This window comes from Homo sapiens, chromosome 11 (genome assembly GCF_000001405.40).
Source record: "Homo sapiens chromosome 11, GRCh38.p14 Primary Assembly".
NCBI lineage: Eukaryota > Metazoa > Chordata > Mammalia > Primates > Hominidae > Homo > Homo sapiens.
Window position 1 is genome coordinate 9236738 of NC_000011.10, and position 21471 is coordinate 9258208.

Sequence of the window (21471 nt, forward strand, 5' to 3'; positions counted from 1 at the left end):
ATGAAAAGGAAGAGAGAGTGAGAGCAAAAAGGAAGGAAGGAAGGAAGACAGGCAGGCAGGCAAAGGATACAAAATTGTATTTCTCTGATGATCCCAATTTTATAAATATATATTATGTGTATGTATATATTATTTCATTGTGACTATGTTTGAAGTTTTGATATATTTCCTGACAACCTGTTTTTAATGCACAGAAATATATTTAGAACACATACAACAAAATATTCGTAACAGAAAAAGAGTTTCCACAAATCAATCAGAAAAAAAGATAAACACCACAACAGAAATATGGACAAAAGGCCTGAACAGACAATTCATAGAATAAACAAATGTATATGAACTATATGAAAAGATGTTCAGCCTAATAATTAAATTCAGATTAAAACAAGATATGTTTGGGCCGGCACGGTGGCTCACGCCTGTAATCCCAACACTTTGGGAGGAAGAGATGGGCAGATCACCTGAGGTCAGGAGTACAAGACCAGCCTGACCAACATGGTAAAACCCCGTCTCTACTAAAAATACAAAAAATTAGCCAGGGGTGTGGTGGCACACGCCTGTAATCCCAGCTACTTGGGAGGCTGAGGCAGGAGAATAGCTCTTGAACCCAGGAGGCAGAGGTTGCAGTGAGGCAAGATTGTACCACTGCACTCCAGCCTGGGCAGTAAGAGTGAAACTCCGTCTCCAGAAAAAAAGATATGTTCTTCCTAGCAGATTGGAAACGTTTCAGAAAAGCGGTAACACTTTATTACAGGTATAAAGAAACTGGAATGTTAAACATTACTAGCAGAGGTCTAAATTGGCACAATTTTTAAGGAAAGTAATTTAGCAATATCTATTAAAATTTAAAATGCACATTTCTTGGGCCAGGTGCAGTGTGGCACATGCCTGTAATCCCAGCACTTTGGGAGGCCGAGGCAGACAGATCACCTGAGATCAGGAGTTCGAGACCAGCCTGACCAACTTGAAACCCCGTCTCTACTCAAAATACAAAAATTAGCCGGGCGTGGTGGCAAGCACCTGTAGCCCCAGCTACTAGGGAGGCTTAGGCAGTAGAATCGCTTGAACCCAGGAAGCAGAGGTTGCAGTGAGCCGAGATTACACCACTGCATTTCAGCCTGGGCGACAGAGCGAGGCTCCATTTCAAAAAAAAAGTACATTTCTTGGATTCACCAAAGTCCAGTTTTAGCAATTAATGCTCCAGAAAAACCCCTACAAGTGTGTAAAAATAAGTGTACATGGATATTTGAAAAAAGAAAAATCTTAAATACTCCACGGGTCCACCAGAAAGATCTTTGTTTTGATGTGGGATCATCTTTTAAGATGTTGTCTGTTATCTCATATACAACATGTTAATTTGATATGAATTCAACTTGAGTGGGTTTTTTGAGTGGGTCTCTGCTCCTTATAATTAACTCTTAACTAAGATCGATGGAATTTCAGGAGCATACTCACGATACAGTATCAAGAAATATTCATGATAGAACATCAAGTGAAAAAAGTCAAAACAAAATTTTACATTACACATTATCACTCTGTTAAAATATATACACATACACCTACACATAGTAAAATCTGGAAAGAACTGATCTGGGTGATGATTAAATGCATGTGTGTGTGTGTATATATATATATTAAGCTATATACTTATATACTTAGAATTTGTGCACTTTACTGTCTTTAAATTACTTTTTTTTTTTTTGAGATGCAGTCGCGCTCTGTCACCTAGGCTGCAGTGGCGCCATCTCGGCTCACTGCAACCTCTGCTTCCCGGGTTCACGCCATTCTCCTGCATCAGCTTCCCGAGTAGCTGGGACCACAGGCGCCCGCCACCAAGCCTGGCTAATTTTTTATATTTTTAGTAGATGGGGTTTCACCATGTTAGCCAGGATGGTCTCGATCTCCTGACCTTGTGATCCGCCCGCCTCGGCCTCCCAAAGTGCTGAGATTACAGGTGTGAGCCACTGTGCCCGGCCCAAAAATATTTTTTAACTGAAAGGAACTATATAAAGGCATCAACATGCTTATAAAGCCTAATTCCAGATAAAGGGATAATGAGTGAATTATTTCCACATCCTTCTATAATTTCTTTTTTCTTTTTTTTTTTTTTGACACCTAATTTTCACTCTTGTTGCCCAGGATGGAGTGCAGTGGCTTGATCTCGGCTCATTGCAATTTCCGCCTCCTGGGTTCAGACGATCCTCCTGCCTCAGCTTCCTGAGTAGCTAGGATTACAGGTGCACGCCACCACACCCGGCTAATTTTTGTATTTTTAGTAGAGACCAGGTTTCACCATGTTGGCCAGGCTGGTCTTGCACTCCTGACCTCAGGTGATCTGCCCACCTCAGCCTTCCAAAATGCTGGGATTACAGGTGTGAGCCACTGCGCCCGGCCTACATCCTTCTACAATTTCTAAGTTTTCTATTAGAAACTGTATTTTAAAACTCAACATTTTATTTATTTATTTATTTATTTAAGAGACAGGAGCCTCACAACGTTGCCCACGCTGGACTCAAATTCACGGGCTCAAGCAATCTTCCTGCCTCAGCCTCCCAAGTAGCTGGGACTACAAGTGCACACCACCACACCTGGCTAAACTTTTTTTTTTTTTTTTTTTGAGACAGGGTCTTGTTCAGTTGCCCAGGCTGGAGTACAGTGGTGTCATCATGACTCACGGCAGCCTCAACCCCTCAGACTCAAGCAATCCTCCTGCCTCAGCCTCCCAAGTAGCTGAGACTACAGGCATGCACCACTACACTCAGCTTTTTATTTTTTGTAGAGACAAGGTCTTGCTATGTTGCCCAGGCTGGTCTCGAAATCCTGGGCTCAAGCCATCCTCCTGCCTCCGCCTCCCAAGTAGCTGAGACTACAGGCATGCACCACTACACTCAGCTTTTCATTTTTTGTAGAGACGAGGTCTTGCTATGTTGCCCAGGCTGGTCTCGAAATCCTGGGCTCAAGCCATCCTCCTGCCTCTGCCTCCCAAAGTGCTGGGATTACAGGCATGTGCTACCATGCCTGGCCAACGTTTTATTTTTAAAGAGAGAAAAATGCCATTCCTTATATGGATGACCTTCATGTTTCTTTCCTATCCCAAGAGTTCAAATCATGGTTCCCTCACTTTCTAGTTGTGTCCCTCTCTTTCAACCCTCAGATTCTATAATTTATGTATAGTCCCTCGGGTATTTTTCCACATATTAAGTGATTATTAAATTAATCAATGAATAAATCATAGAGATTATGTTTTTGTTCAGGGTCACACCCAGAGCTACGCCCTCTATAGTAAATTTTCCAAGACATAAACTGCAAAGCTAGATAATAGTACTCTTTCCCTCTCTTGAACCCCAACAACACACCATCATCTGTTCCTTTTAAAGAACTGATCCTAGGCTGGGCGTGGTGGCTCACGTCTGTAATCCCAGCATTTTGGGAGGCCAAGGCTGGTCAGGAGTTTGAGACCAGCCTGGCCAACATGGTGAAACCCCATCTCTACTAAAAATACAAAAATTAACCAGGCGTTGTGGTGAGCACCTGTAATCCCAGCTACTCGTTGAGGCTGAGGCTGGAGAATCGCTTGAACCCGGGAGGTGGAGGTTGCAGTGAGCCAAGGTTGCACCATTGCACTCCACCCTGGGCGACAAGAGTGAAAACTCCGTCTCAAAAACAAACAAACAAACAAAAACTGATCCTGACTGGGCGCAGGGGCACTCGCCTGTAATCCCAACACTTTGGGAGGCCAAAGCAGGCAAATTACTTGAGTCCAGGAGTTAGAGACCAGCCTGGGCAACGTGGTGAAAACCCATCGCTAGAAAAAAGACAAAAAATATACAGGATTGGTGGCACCTGCCTGTAGTCGCAGCTACTCAGGACGATGAGGTGGGAGGATCACTTGAGCCCTGGAGGCAGAGTTTGCAGTGAGCTGAGATGGTGCCACCGTACTCCAGCCTGGGCAACAGAGTGAGACCCTGTCTCAAAACAAAAAAAAAGAACTGAAGAACTGATCCTTTCCTGCCTTGTTTCAGTGTGCCTGCCCTTCTCTTCTCTAGCACTCAACATAGACCCTGATAGGGGTTATAGGTGTTGATTTTATTCCTGACAGGCAACTACCCATGACAGGATCACAAAACCTCAAGTAGAAACAAAAAATGTGGCTGATAGATGTGGTATGAGGTATGTTAACAACCAGCTAATAATTCAACTTCTAAACTTAAGCAGTCCAAAATTTGGAAGTTCTTTCATGTGAATAGTTGTCTTGACAGAGACTCATCTTCCCTAGTAACTCTGTCTGTGTATGTGCATGTCTGTGTGTGATGTTTGTGTATTCTTCCCCTCATGTAATCCTCACAAGCTGATCCAAGTCCCCATAACTAGAAAGTGAGGAAGCCATAATTTGAAACCAGAACTGAAAGACTCTAAAGCCAAAGCTCTACAGTTATTCGGGTACTGAACTTAAAGCTACATCAGTCCTAAGAATTTGCAGTCATGTAGGTGCGTAACATTAAAACTCTTACAGTAGCCAAAACTGTGGTTCTCAAACCTTAGTATGCATCAGGACAGTGGCTTGTTAACATACAGGTTTCTAGGCCCCATCCCCAGAGTTTATGATTCAGCGGGTAAAGGGTGGGGTTAAAATGTACATTTCTAAGAAGTTCTCAGGTGATGCTGATACTACTGGTCCAGAGACCAGACAACGAGAACCACTGGCCTATAAAGCCCTACATCTTTCCCCCACACTCCCTCTCCCTTCCTCTCTAATCTCATCTTCCCACCACTTGTCCCCTCACTTACTACCTCCAACCTCAGTAACATTGTAAACAATTCTAATACATCAAGTATACTCCTAGCTTATGGCCCTCGCACAGGCTCTTCTCTCTGCCTGAAATACGTTTCTCCACATATACATATGGCTCACTCCTTTGACTCCTTAGAATTCTCCTGAAATTGTCATCCTCTCAGTGAGGTATACCCTGACCATCCTATTAAAAGTACAACATCAGCTGGGCGCGGTGGCTCACGCCTGTAATCCCAGCACTTTGGGAGGCCAAGGCGGGCGGATCACCTGAGGTCGGAAGTTCAATACCAGCCTGATAAATGTGGAGAAACCCCATCTCTACTAAAATTACAAAATTAGCCGGGCATGGTGGCGCATGCCTGTAATCCTAGCTATTCGGGAGGCTGAGGCAGGAGAATCGCTTGAATCTGGGAGGTGGAGGTTGTGGTGAGCAGAGATTGCACCATTGCGCTCCAGCCTGGGCAACATGAGCGAAACTCCGTCTCAAAAAAAAAAAAAAAAAAAAAAGTACAACATCTGTCTCCACCCTGCCCTAACATTCCTGATCCCATTAACCCTGTTTACTGTTTCCACAGCACTTTTCACTTCCTAACATACTATGTAAATTACTGGTTCATTATGTTTATTTTTCAATGTCTCCCTCCACTAAAACCAAAGCTTCACAAAGGCAGTTTCACTCATTGATGTGTCTTAAGAACCTAAAATAGTGACTAGTAAATAACGGGAACTCAGTAAATAAGAGCTGAAGGAGGGAATAAAAAACAGAGAAAACTAACTTTGAGATCTTCTAGACAATCACTGATTGCAAGACACTCACTCTCAATTATAAACATACCTTCGTTATATCATTTATCACAGTGCATTGTCATTATTGGCTTACACGCCTAACCCCTCAGAAGACTATGAGCCCCTTAAGGACAGTGACTGTCTCACTTACACATCTTTGCAAACAAGTGCCCCATCACTAAGTTGGTCTTTCAATAACACAAAAGTAGAAGACTTTAGAGACAGGGAGAACAGGCTTCCAATTCTTGCTTTATAGTCTCGGGCATGTTATTCAAACTCTCTGCACTTTAGTTTCCTAATCTCCAACATGGGGATAATACCATCTAATACCTGGCATTGAAATGTATTCAATAAAAAAACAACCATTAACTTAAATATCATCTATGAATAACAGGGATGGAATGTTACCAGCCTCATGTTTTTGGCCCCCTATGACCCACAGTGTACTAGTGAGCAGGATGGTCAGCTGAGGCTAGCATAAAAGGGGGTCGAGGCCAGGCGTGGTGGCTCACACCTGTAATCCCAGCACTTTCGGAGGCCGAGGCGGGTGGATAACGAGGTCAGGAGTTCGAGACCAGCCTGGCCAACATAGTGAAACTCTGTCTCTACTAAAAATACAAAAATTAGCCAGGCGTGGTGGCACTCACCTGTAATCCCAGCTACTCGGGAGGTTGAGGCAGGAAGATCACTTGAGCCCAGGAGGCAGAAGTTGCAGTGAGCTGAGATTGCACCACTGCACTCCAGCCTGGGCGACACAGCGAGACTCTGTCTCAAAAAAAAAAAAAAAAACAAAAAAAAAAACTGAGGCGAGTAAGGCTAATTGGAATAACTGCTCTTCTGGAGACTAACTCAATGACTTTGGCCTCATTAAATGCACCACACTCATAACTAACTGAGCTAAGTAGTTAACAGAGCTAGATGGGCAGACTGACAATCCTCCACAAAACACTAAACATTCTTCTAGTAGATAAAATTCAAAATGTACTACTTTTAATACGCAGGGGAAAGAATGTACTTCACACAGATGTTGTGAGAAAATGGGGTGGGGTATATTAGATTAAATATTTAACAAAGAAAGGGATTACACACTACGGTTGACCCTTGAACAACATGGGTTTCAACTGTGTGGGTACACTTATACATAGATTTTCTTCCACCTCTGCCACTCCAAGACAGTAAGACCAACTCCTCCTCTTCCTCTTCAGCCTACTCAGTGTGAAGATGATGAGCATAAAGACCTTTTAAATGATCCACTTCCACTTCCTGAAGGATAAATATATTTTATTTCCCAGCCAGGCACGGTGGCTCACACCTGCAATCCCAGCACGTTGGGAGGCCAAGGTAGGCGGATTACAAGGTCAGGAGTTTGACACCAGCCTGGCCAATATGGTGAAACCCTGTCTCTACTAAAAATACAAAAATTAGCCGGGCGTGGTGGTGGGTGCCTGTGGTCCCAGCTACTTGGGAGGCTGAGGCAGGAGAATCACTTGAACCTGGGAGGCAGAGGTTGCAGTGAGCCAAGATCACACCACTGCACTCCAGCCTGGGCGACAGAACGAGACTCCATCTCACACACACAAAAAATAATATTTTATTTCCCTTATGATTATGTTTTCTCTAGCTTACTTTATTGTGAGACTACAGTATATAATACATTTAACATACAAAATATGTGTTAATTAACTATTTGTGTTATTGGTAAGGTTTCCAGTCAGCAGTAGGCTGTTAGTAAAGTTTTCAGGGAGTCAAAAGTTACTTGTGGATTTTCTGCTACACAGAGAATTAGTGCCCCTAACCCCCAACTTGGTTCAAGAGTCAAGTGTATTTGGACATACAGAACCTCAGAGTTCAGCAAAACTGGATGTTGGTTTAGCAGATGATACTCCTAAATTTCTATTGTATTTCTGCTGTGGTTTAAATGTGTCCTTTCCAAAATTCAGGTGTTGCCAATGTGATAGTATGAAGAGGTGAGGCCTTTAACAGGTGATTAGGCCATGAGAGCTGCTCCCTTGTTAATGGGATTAAGGCCTTTTTTAATTTATTTATTTTATTTATTTTTATTTATTTTTTTGAGACGGAGTTTCGCTCTTGTTGCCCAAGCTGGAGTGCAATGGTGTGATCTCAGCTCACCGCAACCTCCGCCTCCCAGGTTCAAGTGATTCTCCTGCCTCAGTCTCCCAAGTAGCTGGGATTACAGGCATGTGCCACCACGCCCAGCTAATTTTGTATTTTTAGTAGAGACCGGGTTTCTCCCTGTCAGTCAGGCTGGTCTTGAACTCCTGACCTCGGGTGATCCGCCCGCTTCGGCCTCCCAAAGTGCTGGGATTACAGGCATTAGCCACCACGCTCAGCCTATTTTATTTATTTATTTATTTTTGGAGATAAGGTCTGGCTCTGTCACTCAGGCTAGAGTGCAGTGTCACTATCTCAGCTCACTGCAACCCCACTTCCTGGGCTCAAGCAATCCTCCCACCTCAGTCTCCTGAGGATCTGGGACTACAGGCACACGCAACCCAGAAAGCTAATGTTTGTATCTTTATTCATAGAGACAGGGTTTCGCCGTGTTGCCGGGGCTGGTCTCGAACTCCTGGGCTCAAGCGATCCACCCTCCTTGGCCTCCGAAAGTGCTGGGATTACAGGCGTGAGCCACCGTGCTTGGCTCCAAGGCCCTTTTAAAAGAGGCTTCAGGCCGGGTGCGGTGGCTCATGCCTGTAATCCCAGCACTTTGGGAGGCCAAGGCGGGTGAATCACGAGGTCAGGAGACCAATACCATCTTGGCCAACATGCTGAAACCCCGTTTCTACTAAAAATACAAAAAAATTAGCTGGGCATGGTGGCACGCGCCTATAGTCCCAGCTACTCAGGAGGCTGAGGCAGGAGAATCGCTTGAACCCAGGAGGTGGAGGCTGCAGTGAGTTGAGATAGTGCCACTGCACCTGAGCCTGGCGACAGAGCAAGACTGTCACCAAAAAAAAAAAAAAACACAAAAAAAACAAAAAATGCAGTGGCTCATACCTGTAATCCCAGCACTTTGGGAGGTCAAGGCAGGAGGATTACCTGAGGTCAGCAGTCCGAGACCAGCCTGGCCAACATGGTGAAACCCCATCTCTACTAAAAATACAAAAATTAGCTGGGCATGGTGGTGCATACCAGTAATCCCAGCTACTCGAGAGGCTGAGGCAGGAGAATTGCTTGAATCCGGAAGGCGGAGGTTGCAGTGAGCTGAGATCGCAACACTGCACTCCACCCTGGGCTACAGAGCAAGACTCCGTCTCGGGGGAAAAAAGTCCGAATAGGCAGCCTCTATTTTTAATTTAATTTTATTTATTTATTGTTGAGAGGGAGTCTCACTCTGTCCCCTAGGCTGGAGTGCAGTGGCACGATCTTGGCTCACTGCAACCTCCGCCTCCCAAATTCAAGTGATTCTCCTGCCTCAGCCTCCCAAGTAGCTGGGACTACAGGCGTGGACCACCACGCTCAGCTAATTTTTGTATTCTTAGTAGAGACGGGGTTTTACCATGTTGGCCAGGCAGGTCTCAAACTCCTGACCTCAGGTGATCCGCCTGCCTCAGCCTCACAAAGTGCTGGGATTATAGGCGTGAGCCACCATGCCCAACCTATCTCTTCATAATTAATACAACAAATATTCATTAAGCACCTACTACATAAAGTACGTTTTTCTACCAAAGTTAAGAAATTTGCCTACCTGACTCTGAGATGGAGCCGGGACCCCTTTTTTAGGGCCTGCAGACCCCAAGCATGGAAATAAAGGAAAATATGAGTTCCTTCAAGGAAAATTCCAGCGCCCTAGCTAGCCCTAGAAGTGACTGAGCAACCTGTTAAACAAGACAGTAGCCTAAAACAATAGCCAAAGAAGTCAGTGACAGAGATGTTTGCTTTCCCCACACAAACTAAGGAGAACATCTTAAAATGTGTCCCTGAGCTGTCTTTCAGAAATTCAGACACCCACTGAGGTTCCACACCGGACACATAGACCTTAGATAAAAGGATGTAGGGCCAGGTGGGGTGGCTCATGCCTGTAATCCCAGCACTTTGGGAGGCCCAGGCGGGAGGATCATGAGGTCAGGAGATTGAGACCATCCTGGCTAACATGGTGAAATCCCATCTCTACTAAAAATACAAAAAATCAGCCAGGTGTGGTGGCACGCTCCTGTAGTCCCAGCTACTCAGGAGGCTGAGGCAGGAGAATCACTTGAACCCAGGGGGTGGAGGTTACAGTAAGCAGAGATTGCACCACTGTACTCCAGCCTAGGCCACAGAGTGAAACTAAGTCTCAAAAAAAAAAAAAAAAAAAAGGAAGTAAACACTGAAAGTTAACCATCATAACTTTCTAAGGTTCTAAGGTTTGTTCCTGAAGGGCTTAAAGAAAGTCACTCCCCCTAACTAGTTATCATTTTGCTACTGACCCCAAATTTTTATACAAAGCTTTTCTTCCTTAACCAACTGCAAATCAGAAAATCTTTGCATCTACCTACAACCCATAAACCCCACTTCAAGACAGCGCTTCCTTTTAGGCTTAAATCAATGTGTAACCTCCAAGTATTGATTCACAATTTTGCCTGCAGCTCCTGCTTTCCTGAAATTTACCCATACCTTTAAAAACCCTTGCCTTGGCCGGGCGCGGTGGCTCACGCCTGTAATCCCAGCACTCTGGGAGGCCGAGGTGGGCAGATCACGAGGTCAGGAGATCGAGACCATCTGGCTAACACGGTGAAACCCCGTCTCTACTAAAAAATAGAAAAAATTAGCTGGGCATGGTGGCAGGCGCCTGTAGTCCCAGCTACTTGGGAGGCTGAAGCAGGAGAACGGCGTGAACCCGGGAGGCGGAGCTTGCAGTGAGCCGAGATCGTGCCACTGCACTCCAGCCTGGGCGACAGAGCGAGACTCCGTCTTAAAAAAAAAAAAAAAAAACCCTTGCCTGCAAGCCACTGGGGAGGCCAGGATTTGAACATTCAGCTGCCTCGTCCTCCTTGCTTGGCACCCTGCAGTAAAAGCCTTTCTTTCAATGACTGCAAATATCAGTGTAGATAACTGGTTCTACTGCACTGGGCAAGCAGACTCCAATTTAGTTCTACAACAACTCTGAGACAAAGGAGTTTATAATACAGCTCTATAATGTTTCCATTTTCATACTGACCTATGGCTTTTAAAATCAAGAAAAAAATAAAAAATGTTTTTATCAAATAAAAACTCTAAGAAAAACAAGGAGAGAGACACCTAGTGAAGAAAAAAAAAAACAAGCTCTAAAATATTTAAAGAGATTTATTTTGAATCAATATGAACGACCATGGCCCAGGGAACAGTCTCAACACGTTCTTGTGCCTGAGATGCTCATGTTACAGGTTGGTTTTGGTTTACAAATTTTGGATGAAGCCTCCAGGTAACCAAGAGTATAGATGGTAAATATCTCTTTTCAGACCTTAAAAGGTATCCAACTCTTAGATAATCTGCTAGATCTGGGAAAGCCCTGTCTGTACTAATGGAGATTCTCTACAGACTCAAATTTCCCCCACAAAAGACAGCTTTGCAGGGCCATTTTAAAACATCTCAAAGAAATACATTTTGGGGTAAAATACTTTTATTTCCTTCAGGGTCTGCTATGTGTCATATGATGCTAGATAGAGTCAGGTTGGAATTTGGTTATCTTTGGGTTGTTTTGTTTTGTTTTTGAGACAGGATCTTGCTCTGTTGCCCAGGCTAGAGTGCAGTGGCTTGATCTCACTGCAACCTCTGCCTCCCAGGCTCAAGCAATCCTCCACATCAGGCCTCTCGAGTACCTGGTTCTACAGGTGGGTGACACCTCGCTTGGCTAATTTTTGTCTTTTTTGTAAAGACGGGGTTTCACCATGTTGCCTAGGCTGCTCTGGAACTCCTGGATTCAAGTGATCCACCTTCCTCAGTCTCCCAAAATGCTGGGATTTCAGGCATGAGCCACAGCGCCCAGCTGGAATTTCGTATCTTATTGTCAGAGTTTCTTTTGTCAGTCTTATGATCTCCATTTTAACATTAATGGTGGTCATGACTTAAAGGGAGGTTGGCCATGCCTCATTATACCCCTCTCCAAAAGAGAGAGAGAAGCTGAGGTAGGAGGATCCCTTGAGCCCAGGAGTTCAAGACCAGCCTGGGCAACATAGTGACACACTCACTATCTCTACAAAAAATTTAAAAATGAGACAGGTGTGGTGGCATGTGTCTGTGGTCGCAGCTACTCCAGAGGCTGAGTAGGAGGATGGCTTGAACCTGGGAGGTCTAGGCTGAACTGCGCTGTGATTGAGCCCCTGCATTCCAGCCTGGGCAAAAGAGAGGGGTATAATGAGGGATGGCCAACCTCCCTTTGAGTCATGACCTGGAATTTAGTTTTTCAGGTTTCTCTAGGGTCCCCTTGGGTGGGCATTCAATTGGCTGAGGGGCTTAGGATTTTACTTTTGGTTTACACATCTAACTTACCCAAAATAAAATATTTAGTTTTCTTCAACAATATTAACAATATATCCCAAAATTAGTAGCTATCTTCATAACTAGGCTAAAACATTGTTAGAGGGCCATTGTTCTAAAACTACAAAAAGAAAGAATGAAAAAGGCATCAGAGATGATACACCTGAAAAAATAACCAAGTCCTGGCTGGGCGCGGTGGCTCACACCTGTAATCCCAGCACTTAGGTGGGCGGATCACGAGGTCAGGAGATCGAGACCATCCTGGCTAACGTGGTGAAACCCTGTCTCTACTACAAATACAAAAAAATTAGCCGGGCGTGGTGGTGGGCGCCTGTAGTCCCAGTTACTCAGGAGGCTGAGGCAGGAGAATGGCGTGAACCCGGGAGGTGGAGCTTGCAGTGAGCTGAGATAGTGCCACCGCACTCCAGCCTGGGAGACAGAGCGAGACTCCGACTCAAAAAAAAAAAGAAAAAGAACCAAGTCCTCTGACACTCCTGGAAAGTAATTCTAACGTGTTGTAACGAAAAAGCATGTAATTTGTTATAAATCAGGTTTATTCATTTACTGTCTTATAATTGTGGCCTGTGATTATTTCTTTTTTTGTTTCTTTTTGAGACAGGGTCTAGCTATGCTGCCCAGGCTGGAATGCAGTGGCTCAATCACAGCTCATTGCAGCCTGGACCTCCCAGGCTCAAACGATCCTCCCAGCTCGTCCTCTGGAGCTGAGGCACATGCCATCACACTGGGCTCATTTTTATATTTTTTTATTTTATTGTATTTTATTGTATTTTTTTGAGACAGAGTTTCGCTCTTGTTGCCCAAACTGGAGTGCAATGGCGCAATCTCAGCTCACTGCAACCTCTGCCTCCAGGTTCGAGCAATTCTCCTGCCTCAGCCTCCCAAGTAGCTGGGATTACAGGCGCCCACCACCATGCCTGGCTAATTTTTGTGTATTTTTAGTAGAAATGGGGTTTCACCATGTTAGCCAGGCTGTTCTCGAACTCCTGACCTCAGGTGATCCACCCACCTCGGCTTCCCAAAGTGCTGGGATTACAGGCATGAGCCACCGTGCCCGGCCTCATTTTTAAATTTTTTTGTAGAGACAGTGTTGCACTACGTTGCCCGGGCTAGCCTCAAACTCCTGAGTTCCAGGGATCCTCCTACCTCAGCTTCCCAAAGTGGTGAGATTACAGGATCGAGCCATCGCACCTGGCCCAATTATTCTTTCTAAACCATTTCCTCTTCTGTGTTCATGCCTTTAAAAATAAAATTTAAAAAAAAAAAAAAAATCCTTAAAATTTCTCAGGTGTTTTCCATATCATTTTATTATCAAGAATATGGCTAATCAGAAGTCACAGCCAGCCCCCGAACTACAACTACAAAACATGCATATTATAGGCTACACTGAGGGATTTCTGAGGTTAGCAGATGCAAATCTTTTTTTTCCTTCAAAGAAGACAGACCCAGGCAAAAAGCATAAAACATCCTGAAACTGTCACCAAAAAAAAAAAAGTTTCTTAGAAGCAAACCCCTAGTAACTACCTAGTCTAAGAAAAACATTTCCAGAACTGATAAAGAGTGGGGAAAGAGGAAAGAACAATGGTTGTTGTTAACCACAATTCTGAAAACAAGCAACCTGTCTCCTCTCCTGACACAGCTCCTCTACTGCAATGTGGGCTGGAGACTGAACCACAAAGAGGTCGCACTACAGCTCTGCATTTCAACGATTATGCCACTGCTTCAGTTTTCCCACATCTATAATTTTAAAAAAACAAACAAACCTCAGTAATAGTAAGACAGCAAACAGAAGACCTGGATTCTAACAGATCTTTCTAACTTGGTGGGTAACAATGGACAAACAATTTTATTTCAAGCGGGGCTAAAAAAATTAAAAATCATTTAAAAGTACAGTGTAAAACTACAAAGTCATTTATAAATATTAATCATTACCATCTGTCAAAAGTGATAGCTGAACTATCTCTGATTTCTAGCTCTGACATTTTTTGATTCTGTGACCAATATAAACCAATGCACATACATTGTTTGGCCAACTGGAATAGTTTAGAAATCAAGGACTTCCGGCCGGGTGCGGTGGCTCACGCCTGTAATCCCAGCACTTTGGCAGGCTGAGGCGGGTGGGTCACCTAAGGTCAGGAGTTCGAGGCCAGCCCCGACCAACATGGTGAAACCCCCTCTCTACTAAAAATACAAAAATTAGCTGGGCATGGTGGCAGGCACCTGTAATTCCAGCTACTTGGGAGGCTGAGGCAGGAGAATCGCTTGAACCCAGGAGGCAGAGGTTACAGTGCGCTGAGATCAAGCCACTGCACTCCAGCCTGGGCAAGAGAGTGACACTCCATCTCAAACAAAAAAAAAAAAAAAAAAAGAAAGAAAGATATCAAGGAATCCCACATTCACAGAGGAATGAAACTCAATGTGAGAAACCTCTACAGACTTTTCACTGCTCAGACCTCTCAGCATTCCAGGAAAGCATTTTAGGCTAACCCAGCTAGTTCAGTACATAAAGTAGACCACAGATGGCCAAGCAAAATTTTAACCTGACTTACCCATCACATAATGAACAATAAAAAATAAAAAATTACTAACCTGGTTCTCTTTAACAGGAAGCTCTACAAGAGATTCCATGTACGACAACAAGCAAATATCAAAGACAGTACAATATTTGAGAAACACAACGGTCTAAACTATACCTATTGCCATCTTACTTCCTGAGTCATATCTGATCCCCTGAAGGCATACTGAAAACAACTTGACATCTGGCACACACTCTCATTTTCTGCCATGCCAGGATTCTACCACTCATAAGACTCAGCCCAGGGTTCTACATACGCCAAATGAAAATCAGCAACCACAGAAGATTTGGAATATGGCATTTGACTAACTGCTTCACTTAGTAACTTTTAAGAACTAAATCCAGCTGGGTGCGGTGGCTCACACCTGTAATCCCAGCACTTTGGGAGGCCGAGGCGGGCGGATTCCGAGGTCAGGAGATCGAGACCATCCTGGCTAACACAGTGAAACCCCGTCTCTACTAAAAATACAAAAAATTAGACTGGCGTGGTGGCAGGCCCCTGCAGTCTCAGCTACTCGGGAGGCTGAGGCAGGAGAATGGCGTGAACCTAGGAGGCGGAGCTTGCAGTGAGCCGAGATGGCACCACCGTACTCCAGCCTGGGCGACAGAGCGAGACTCTGTCTCGCGAAAAAAAAGAAAAAAGAACTAAATCTGGCCAGGTGCAGTGGCTCATGCCTGTAATCTCAGCACTTTGGGAGGCCGAGGCGGGCGGATCACGAGGTCCAGAGATGGAGACCATTCTGGCTAACATGGTGAAACCGCATGTCTACTAAAAACACAAAAATTAGCTGGGCATGGTAGCACGCGCCTGTAGTCCCAGCTACTCGGGAGGCCAAGGCAGGAGAATCGCTTGAACCCGGGAGGCAGAGGTTGCAGTGCCGCAGTCACACCACTGCACTCCAGCCTGGGCGACAGAGCAAGACTCCGTCTCAAAAAAAAAAAAAAAAAAAGAACTAAATATAAAAATCTGGCCGTAATAGCCTGTGTTTAATTACTGAATTCGGCCAGGTGCAGTGGCTCATGCCTGTAATCCCAGCACTTTAGGAGGCAGAGGTGGGTGGATCACCTGAGGTCAGGAATTCAACACCAGCCTGGCCAACATGACGAAAGCGTCTTTACCAAAAATACAAAAATTAGCCAGGTGTGGTGGCGCTTGCATGTAGTCCCAGCTACTCAGGAGGCTGAGGCAGAAGAATTGCTTGAACCTTGGAGGCGGAGGCTGCAGTAGCCAAGATCGCACCATTATATTCCAGCCTGGGTGACAGAGTGAGACTCCGTCTCAAAAAAAAAAACCAAAAAACTGAATTCCACAAGGAAGTCACCAGCTTCTGAAAGGCAAGCCTCTTTCTCACTGGACATTAGGCCATCTCTAGCAGGAACCTAAAACATATCAACATATGAAGTATAGGTTCCTTCATGTGTACCCAGGTTCCTAAGAGACCTCTAAGACTATCTGACAGTAATTCAAAGCCAGGGACAGCAACAGGATTTTTTTTTTTTTTTGAGTCAGGGTCTCACCCTATTGCCCAGGCTGGAGTGCAGTGGCACAATCATGGCTCACCACAGTCTGGACCTCCCTGGACTCAGCTGATCTGCCAACCTCAGCATCCCAAGGAACTGGAACCACAGACATACACCACTACACCAGGCTAATTTTTCTATTTTCTGTAGAGACCCGAGTCTCGCCATGTTGCCCAGGATTGTCTCAAACTCCTGGCCTAAAGCCATCCTCCCCCACTCGGCCCCTCAAAGTGCTGGGATTACAGGCATGAGCTACCATACCTGGCCACAACAGGAATTTACAAGCTGAGCGAAGCCCAAGTACACCTTCCAACAAAGCCAAAAAACAAGCTTATAAAAGGATGTAGGACTGGAAAGGGGTGTTACCAAAGGAGGCTTTAGGCAAAGAAAACTTTATTTTTAACCTAGGAAGGAAGGAAGGGCTGAGCAGACTCTAAGAGAATTTGGTTTAAGCACCAAACACTGTGACTCAGGATTTCCTTCTATGAAGAAAATTGCAGGGCCCCAATATCATTAAAGTAAAATCCACTAATTTCAGTATGATCCTCCCTGCCTGATGGAGTCAAATAGCGTTCTCTTTAGAATATACAGTCTCAGCCAGGCATGGTGGTTCATGTCTATAATCCCAGCACTTTGGGAGGCTGAGTCGGGAGTATCACTGTTCAAGCTGTTTAAGGCCAGCCTGGGCAAGATGGTGAGAACCCATCCCTACAAAAAAATAATAATTAGTTGGGCAGCCAGGTGCGGTGGCTTATACCAATAATCCCAGCATTTTGGGAGGCCGAGGTGGGCAGATCACTTGAGCCCAGAGGTTCAAGACCAGCCTGGGCCCATTAGCAGGTATAGTGATGCACACCTGTAGTTCCAGCTACCTAGAGGCTGAGGTGGGAGGATCACTTGAGCCCAGGAGGTCAAGGTTGTAGTAAACCATGATCACACCACTGCACTTTGGCCTGGGCAACAGGGTGAGACCCTGTCTCAAAAAAACAACAATGGGCGCAGTGGCTCACACCTGTAATCCCAGCACTTTGGGAGGCCGAGACGGGCGGATCATCTGAGGTCTGGAGTTCAAGACCAGCCTGACCAACATGGAGAAACCCCATCTCTACTAAGAATACAAATTAGCCAGGCATGGTGGCGCATGCCTATAATCCCAGCTACTCAGGAGGCCGAGGCAGGAGAATCGCTTGAACCCGGGAGGCAGAGGTTGCAGTGAGCCAAGATCGCACCATTGCATTCCAGCCTGGGCAACAAGAGCGAAACTCTGTCTCAGAAAAAAAAAAAAAAAAAAAAAGCCAGGTGTGGTGGCACTTGCCTGTAGTCCCAAGTACTCAAGAGGCTAAGGTAGGAGGATCCCTTGAGCTCAGAAATTCGAGGCTCAGAAACGCCGAGGAAGTGAGGTATGATTGTCCACTGTACCCTAGCCTGGGTCTGGCTTTTTTAAGCCAGACCACATCTCAAAATATGTATATATACAGAAATTTAGCTTGTATTTTAACTGCCTTGGGCTACTCTGTAATTGTTTTCTGTGTGTGGGTCTCATCTCTCCTGACTTCTTACTTGTTCTACCTAAAAAAAGAAAACACATAACCTAACTTAAGAACTCTTTCCGTACTTCAGTAGGCTTGACTTCTGGAAGCATCCACAGATGTCTGAGATAAGCCATAAGATTTTGAGTTTTGCTGCAGCTAGTAATCTGGGCTTCAGAGCAAAGATGCCTTTTTAAATGACCACAAGAATCTGCCCAGAATCAACCAGCCCAGTAGAGGAAGATGAAAATTAAGTGTAGTCCACATCGACTCCCAGTTTGAAACTGGCTCATAAAACTTTTTATAGCTACTTCATCTCTGGGGAGGGATATCCTTTTCTCTTTTAAATAAGAAGTCTTATTTAAAAGTCTCAGTCGGCAAGGTGTGGTGGTTCACACCTGTAATCCCAGCCCTTTAAGAGGCCAAGGAGGGTGGATCATGAGGTCAAGAGTTCGAGACCAGCCTGGGCAACATGGTGAAACCCCATCTCTACTAAAAATACAAAAATTAGCTGGGCGTGATGGCAGATGCATGTAATCCCAGCTACTCGGGAGGCTGAGGCATGAGAATCGCTTGAACCCAGGAGGCAGAGGTTGCAGTGAGCCAAGATCGTGCTACTGCACTCCAGCCTGGGCCACAAAACAAGACTCTGTCTCAAAAAATAATAAATAAAATAAAATAAAATAATAAAAATAAAAATCTTTGTCTTCTAGGATATGCAAATTAAAACCATGAGATACCACTTACAGCCACTAAGATGGCTATAAACCAATAGATAAGTATTGGTAAGGATATGAATAAAGTGGAATTCTCATACACTGCTATTGGAAATGTACACTAGTGCAGCTGTTTTGGAAAACAGACTGGCAGGCAGTCTCTCAAAAGGTTAAACACGGCCGGGCGCGGTGGCTCACGCCTGTAATCCCAGCACTTTGGGAGGCCAAGTCGGGAGTATCATTTTTCAGGTTGTTTAAGACCTGCCTGGGCAAGATGGTGAGACCTCGTCTCTACAAAAAAATTAAAAATTAGTCGGGCAGCCAGGTGCGGTGGCTCTTACCTGTAATCTCAGCACTTTGGGAGGTCGAGGCAGGTGAATGACCTGAGGTCAGGAGTTCGAGACCAGCCTGGCCAACATGGTAAAACCCCGTTTCTACTAAAAATACAAAAATTGACTGGCGCAGTGGCTCTCGCCTGTAATCCCAGCACTTTGGAAGGCAGAGGCAGGTGGATCATGAAGTCAGGAGTTCGAGACCAGCCTGTCTAATATGGTGAAACTCTGTCTCTAGTACAAAATACAAAAATTAGCTGGGCATAGTGGTGCACACCTGTAGTCCCAGCTACTTGGGAGGCCAAGGCAGGATAATTGCTTGAACCCGGGAGGCAGAGGTTGCAGTGAGCCAAGATTGTGCCACTGCACTCCAGCCTGGGCGACAGAGTGAGACTCCGTCTAAAAAAAAAAAAAAAATCCAGGCTTGGTAACGGGTACCTGTAATCCCAGCTACTCAAGAGGCTGAGGAAGGAGAATGGCCTGAACCCGGGAGGCAGTGGTTGCAGTAAGCCAAGATCGCGCCATTGCACCCCAGCGTGAGCAACACGGCGAAACTCCATCTCAAAAAAAAAAAAAAAGGTTAAACACAGTTACTATATGACCCAGTAATTTCATTCCTAAGTATTCAGCAAAGAGAAATGAAAACATAGGCCTACACACAAAAAAAGAAGTGTACACAAATGTTCATAGCATTATTCAAAACAATCAAAAACTGAAGGCCGGGCACGGTGGCTTGTGCCTGTAATCCCAGCACTTTAGGAGGCCAAGGTGGGTGGATCATGAAGTCAGGAGTTCAAGACCAGCCTGGCCAACGTGGTGAAACCCCGTCTCTACTAAAAATACAAAAATTAGCTAGGCGTGGTGGTACATGCCTGTAATCCCAGCTACTCAGGAGGCTGAGGCAGGAGAATCACTTGAACCTGGGAGGCGGAGGTTGCAGTGAGCCGAGATTGCGCCATTGCACTCCAGCCTGAGCAACAAGAATGAAACTCTGTCTCAGAAAAAAAAAAGAAGAAAACAATCCAATGTCCTTCCACTAATGGATAAACAAATAAAATGTTGTATATTCATACCATGGCATATTTTTCTGGCATAAACAGGAATGACAAACTGATACATGCTACAACATGAGTGAACCTTGAAAACATTATGCTAAGTGAAAGAAGCCAGTAACAAGAGACCACACATATTACTCCATTTATATGAAATGTCAAAAACAGGCAAATCTATAGAGATAGAAAGTAGATGAGTGGTTGCCTAGGGTTCAGGGTTAGAGGGTTGGGAGAAAATGATGAGTAACTGCTAATGGGTACAGGTTTTCAGGGGAGAGTGATTAATACATTTCAAAATGGATTGTAGTGTGATTGTAAAACTAATTGTAAAAATAAATTAAAAATCACTGAAATAAGTGAACTGTATGGTATACGAATTATATCTCAATAAAATTGTTTATATATGGACACACACATAAATGATAAAGCAAATGGGGCAAAATGTTAACAATCGGTGAATCTGGTTAAGAGATATACTGGAGTTCTTTGTTCTATTCATGTCAATGCTTCTTTTTCTTTTTTCTGAGACCAAGTCACTCAGGCTGGAGTGCAGTGGCGCCATCTCGGCTCACTGCAACCTCTGCCTCCCATTTCAAGCGATTCTCCTGTGTCAGCCTCCTGAGTAGCTGGGATTATAGGCACCCACCACCACGCCCGGCTAATTTTTGTATTTTTAGTAGAGACGGGGTTTCATCGTGTTGGCCAGGCTGGTCTCAAGTGATCCACCTGCCTCAGCCTCCCAAAGTGCTGGGATTATAGGCGTGAGCAACCATGTCTAGCCCTCAATGCTTCTTTAAATATGAAATTATAAAAAAAGATAAAGCAATAAAGCTACGGGCCTGGGAGGTCGAGGCTGCAGTGAGTCATGATTGTGCCACTGCACTCCAGCCTGGGCAACAGAGACAGACTCTGTCTCTTAAAAAAAAAAAAAAAAAAGATATCCTTAATGATAATCACACACAGTATTCTTTTTTTTTTTTTTTTTGAGAAGGAGTCTCACACTGTTGCCCAGGCTGGAGTGCACTGGCTCGATCTCGGCTCACTGCAAGCTCCGCCTCCCAGGTTCACGCCATTCTCCTGCCTCAGCCTCCTGAGTAGCTGGGACTACAGGTGCCCGCCATCGCACCCGGCTAATTTTTTTGAATTTTTAGTAGAGACAGGGTTTCACCGTGTTAGCCAGGATAGTCTCGATCTCCTGACCTTGTGATCCGCCCACCCCGGCCTCCCAAAGTGCTGGGATTACAGGCGTGAGCCACCGCGCCCAGCCAACACACACAGTATTCTTTTTTTTTTTTTGAGACAAGGTCTCACTTTGTTGCCCAGGCCAGAGTGCAGTGACGCCATCTTGGCTCACTGCAGCCTCCGCCTCCCAGATTCAAGCGATTCTCTCGCCTCAGCCTCCCGAGTAGCTGGGATTATAGGTGTGTGCCACCAGGCCCGGCTAATTTTTGTATCTTTAGTAGAGACAGGGTTTCACCATGTTGGCCAGGCTGGTCTCAAACTCCTGACCTCAAGTGATCCACCCACCTCAACCTCCCAAAGTGCTGGGATTACAAGCATGAGCCACCGTACCCGGTCTACACACAGTACACACAGTATTCTTTCTTTTTCCTTTTTAAATTATACTTTAAGTTCTGGGGTACATGTGCAGAACATACAGTTTTGTTACATAGGTATACACATGGCATGGCATG

At 44.9% G+C, this 21471-nt stretch overlaps 1 protein-coding gene across 5 annotated transcripts in view, besides 2 other annotated features; it reads right to left on the reverse strand.

The window, feature by feature from the left end:
* DENND5A (DENN domain containing 5A) overlaps positions 1-21471 on the reverse strand; it is a 126526-nt gene that overhangs the window by 97913 nt on the left and 7142 nt on the right. The window lies entirely within an intron of this gene.
* Positions 13724-13833: an enhancer, noted in NCBI's record as "active region_4402". NCBI's record gives its function as "activates an Ori minimal core promoter by ATAC-STARR-seq in GM12878 lymphoblastoid cells {active_cell/tissue: GM12878}" and the evidence as "EXISTENCE:reporter gene assay evidence [ECO:0000049][PMID:35858748]".
* Positions 15528-16227: an enhancer, noted in NCBI's record as "H3K4me1 hESC enhancer chr11:9273812-9274511 (GRCh37/hg19 assembly coordinates)". NCBI's record gives its function as "activates a minimal SCP1, AML or CMV promoter by ChIP-STARR-seq in primed H9 embryonic stem cells {active_cell/tissue: H9 hESC(primed)}" and the evidence as "EXISTENCE:reporter gene assay evidence [ECO:0000049][PMID:30033119]".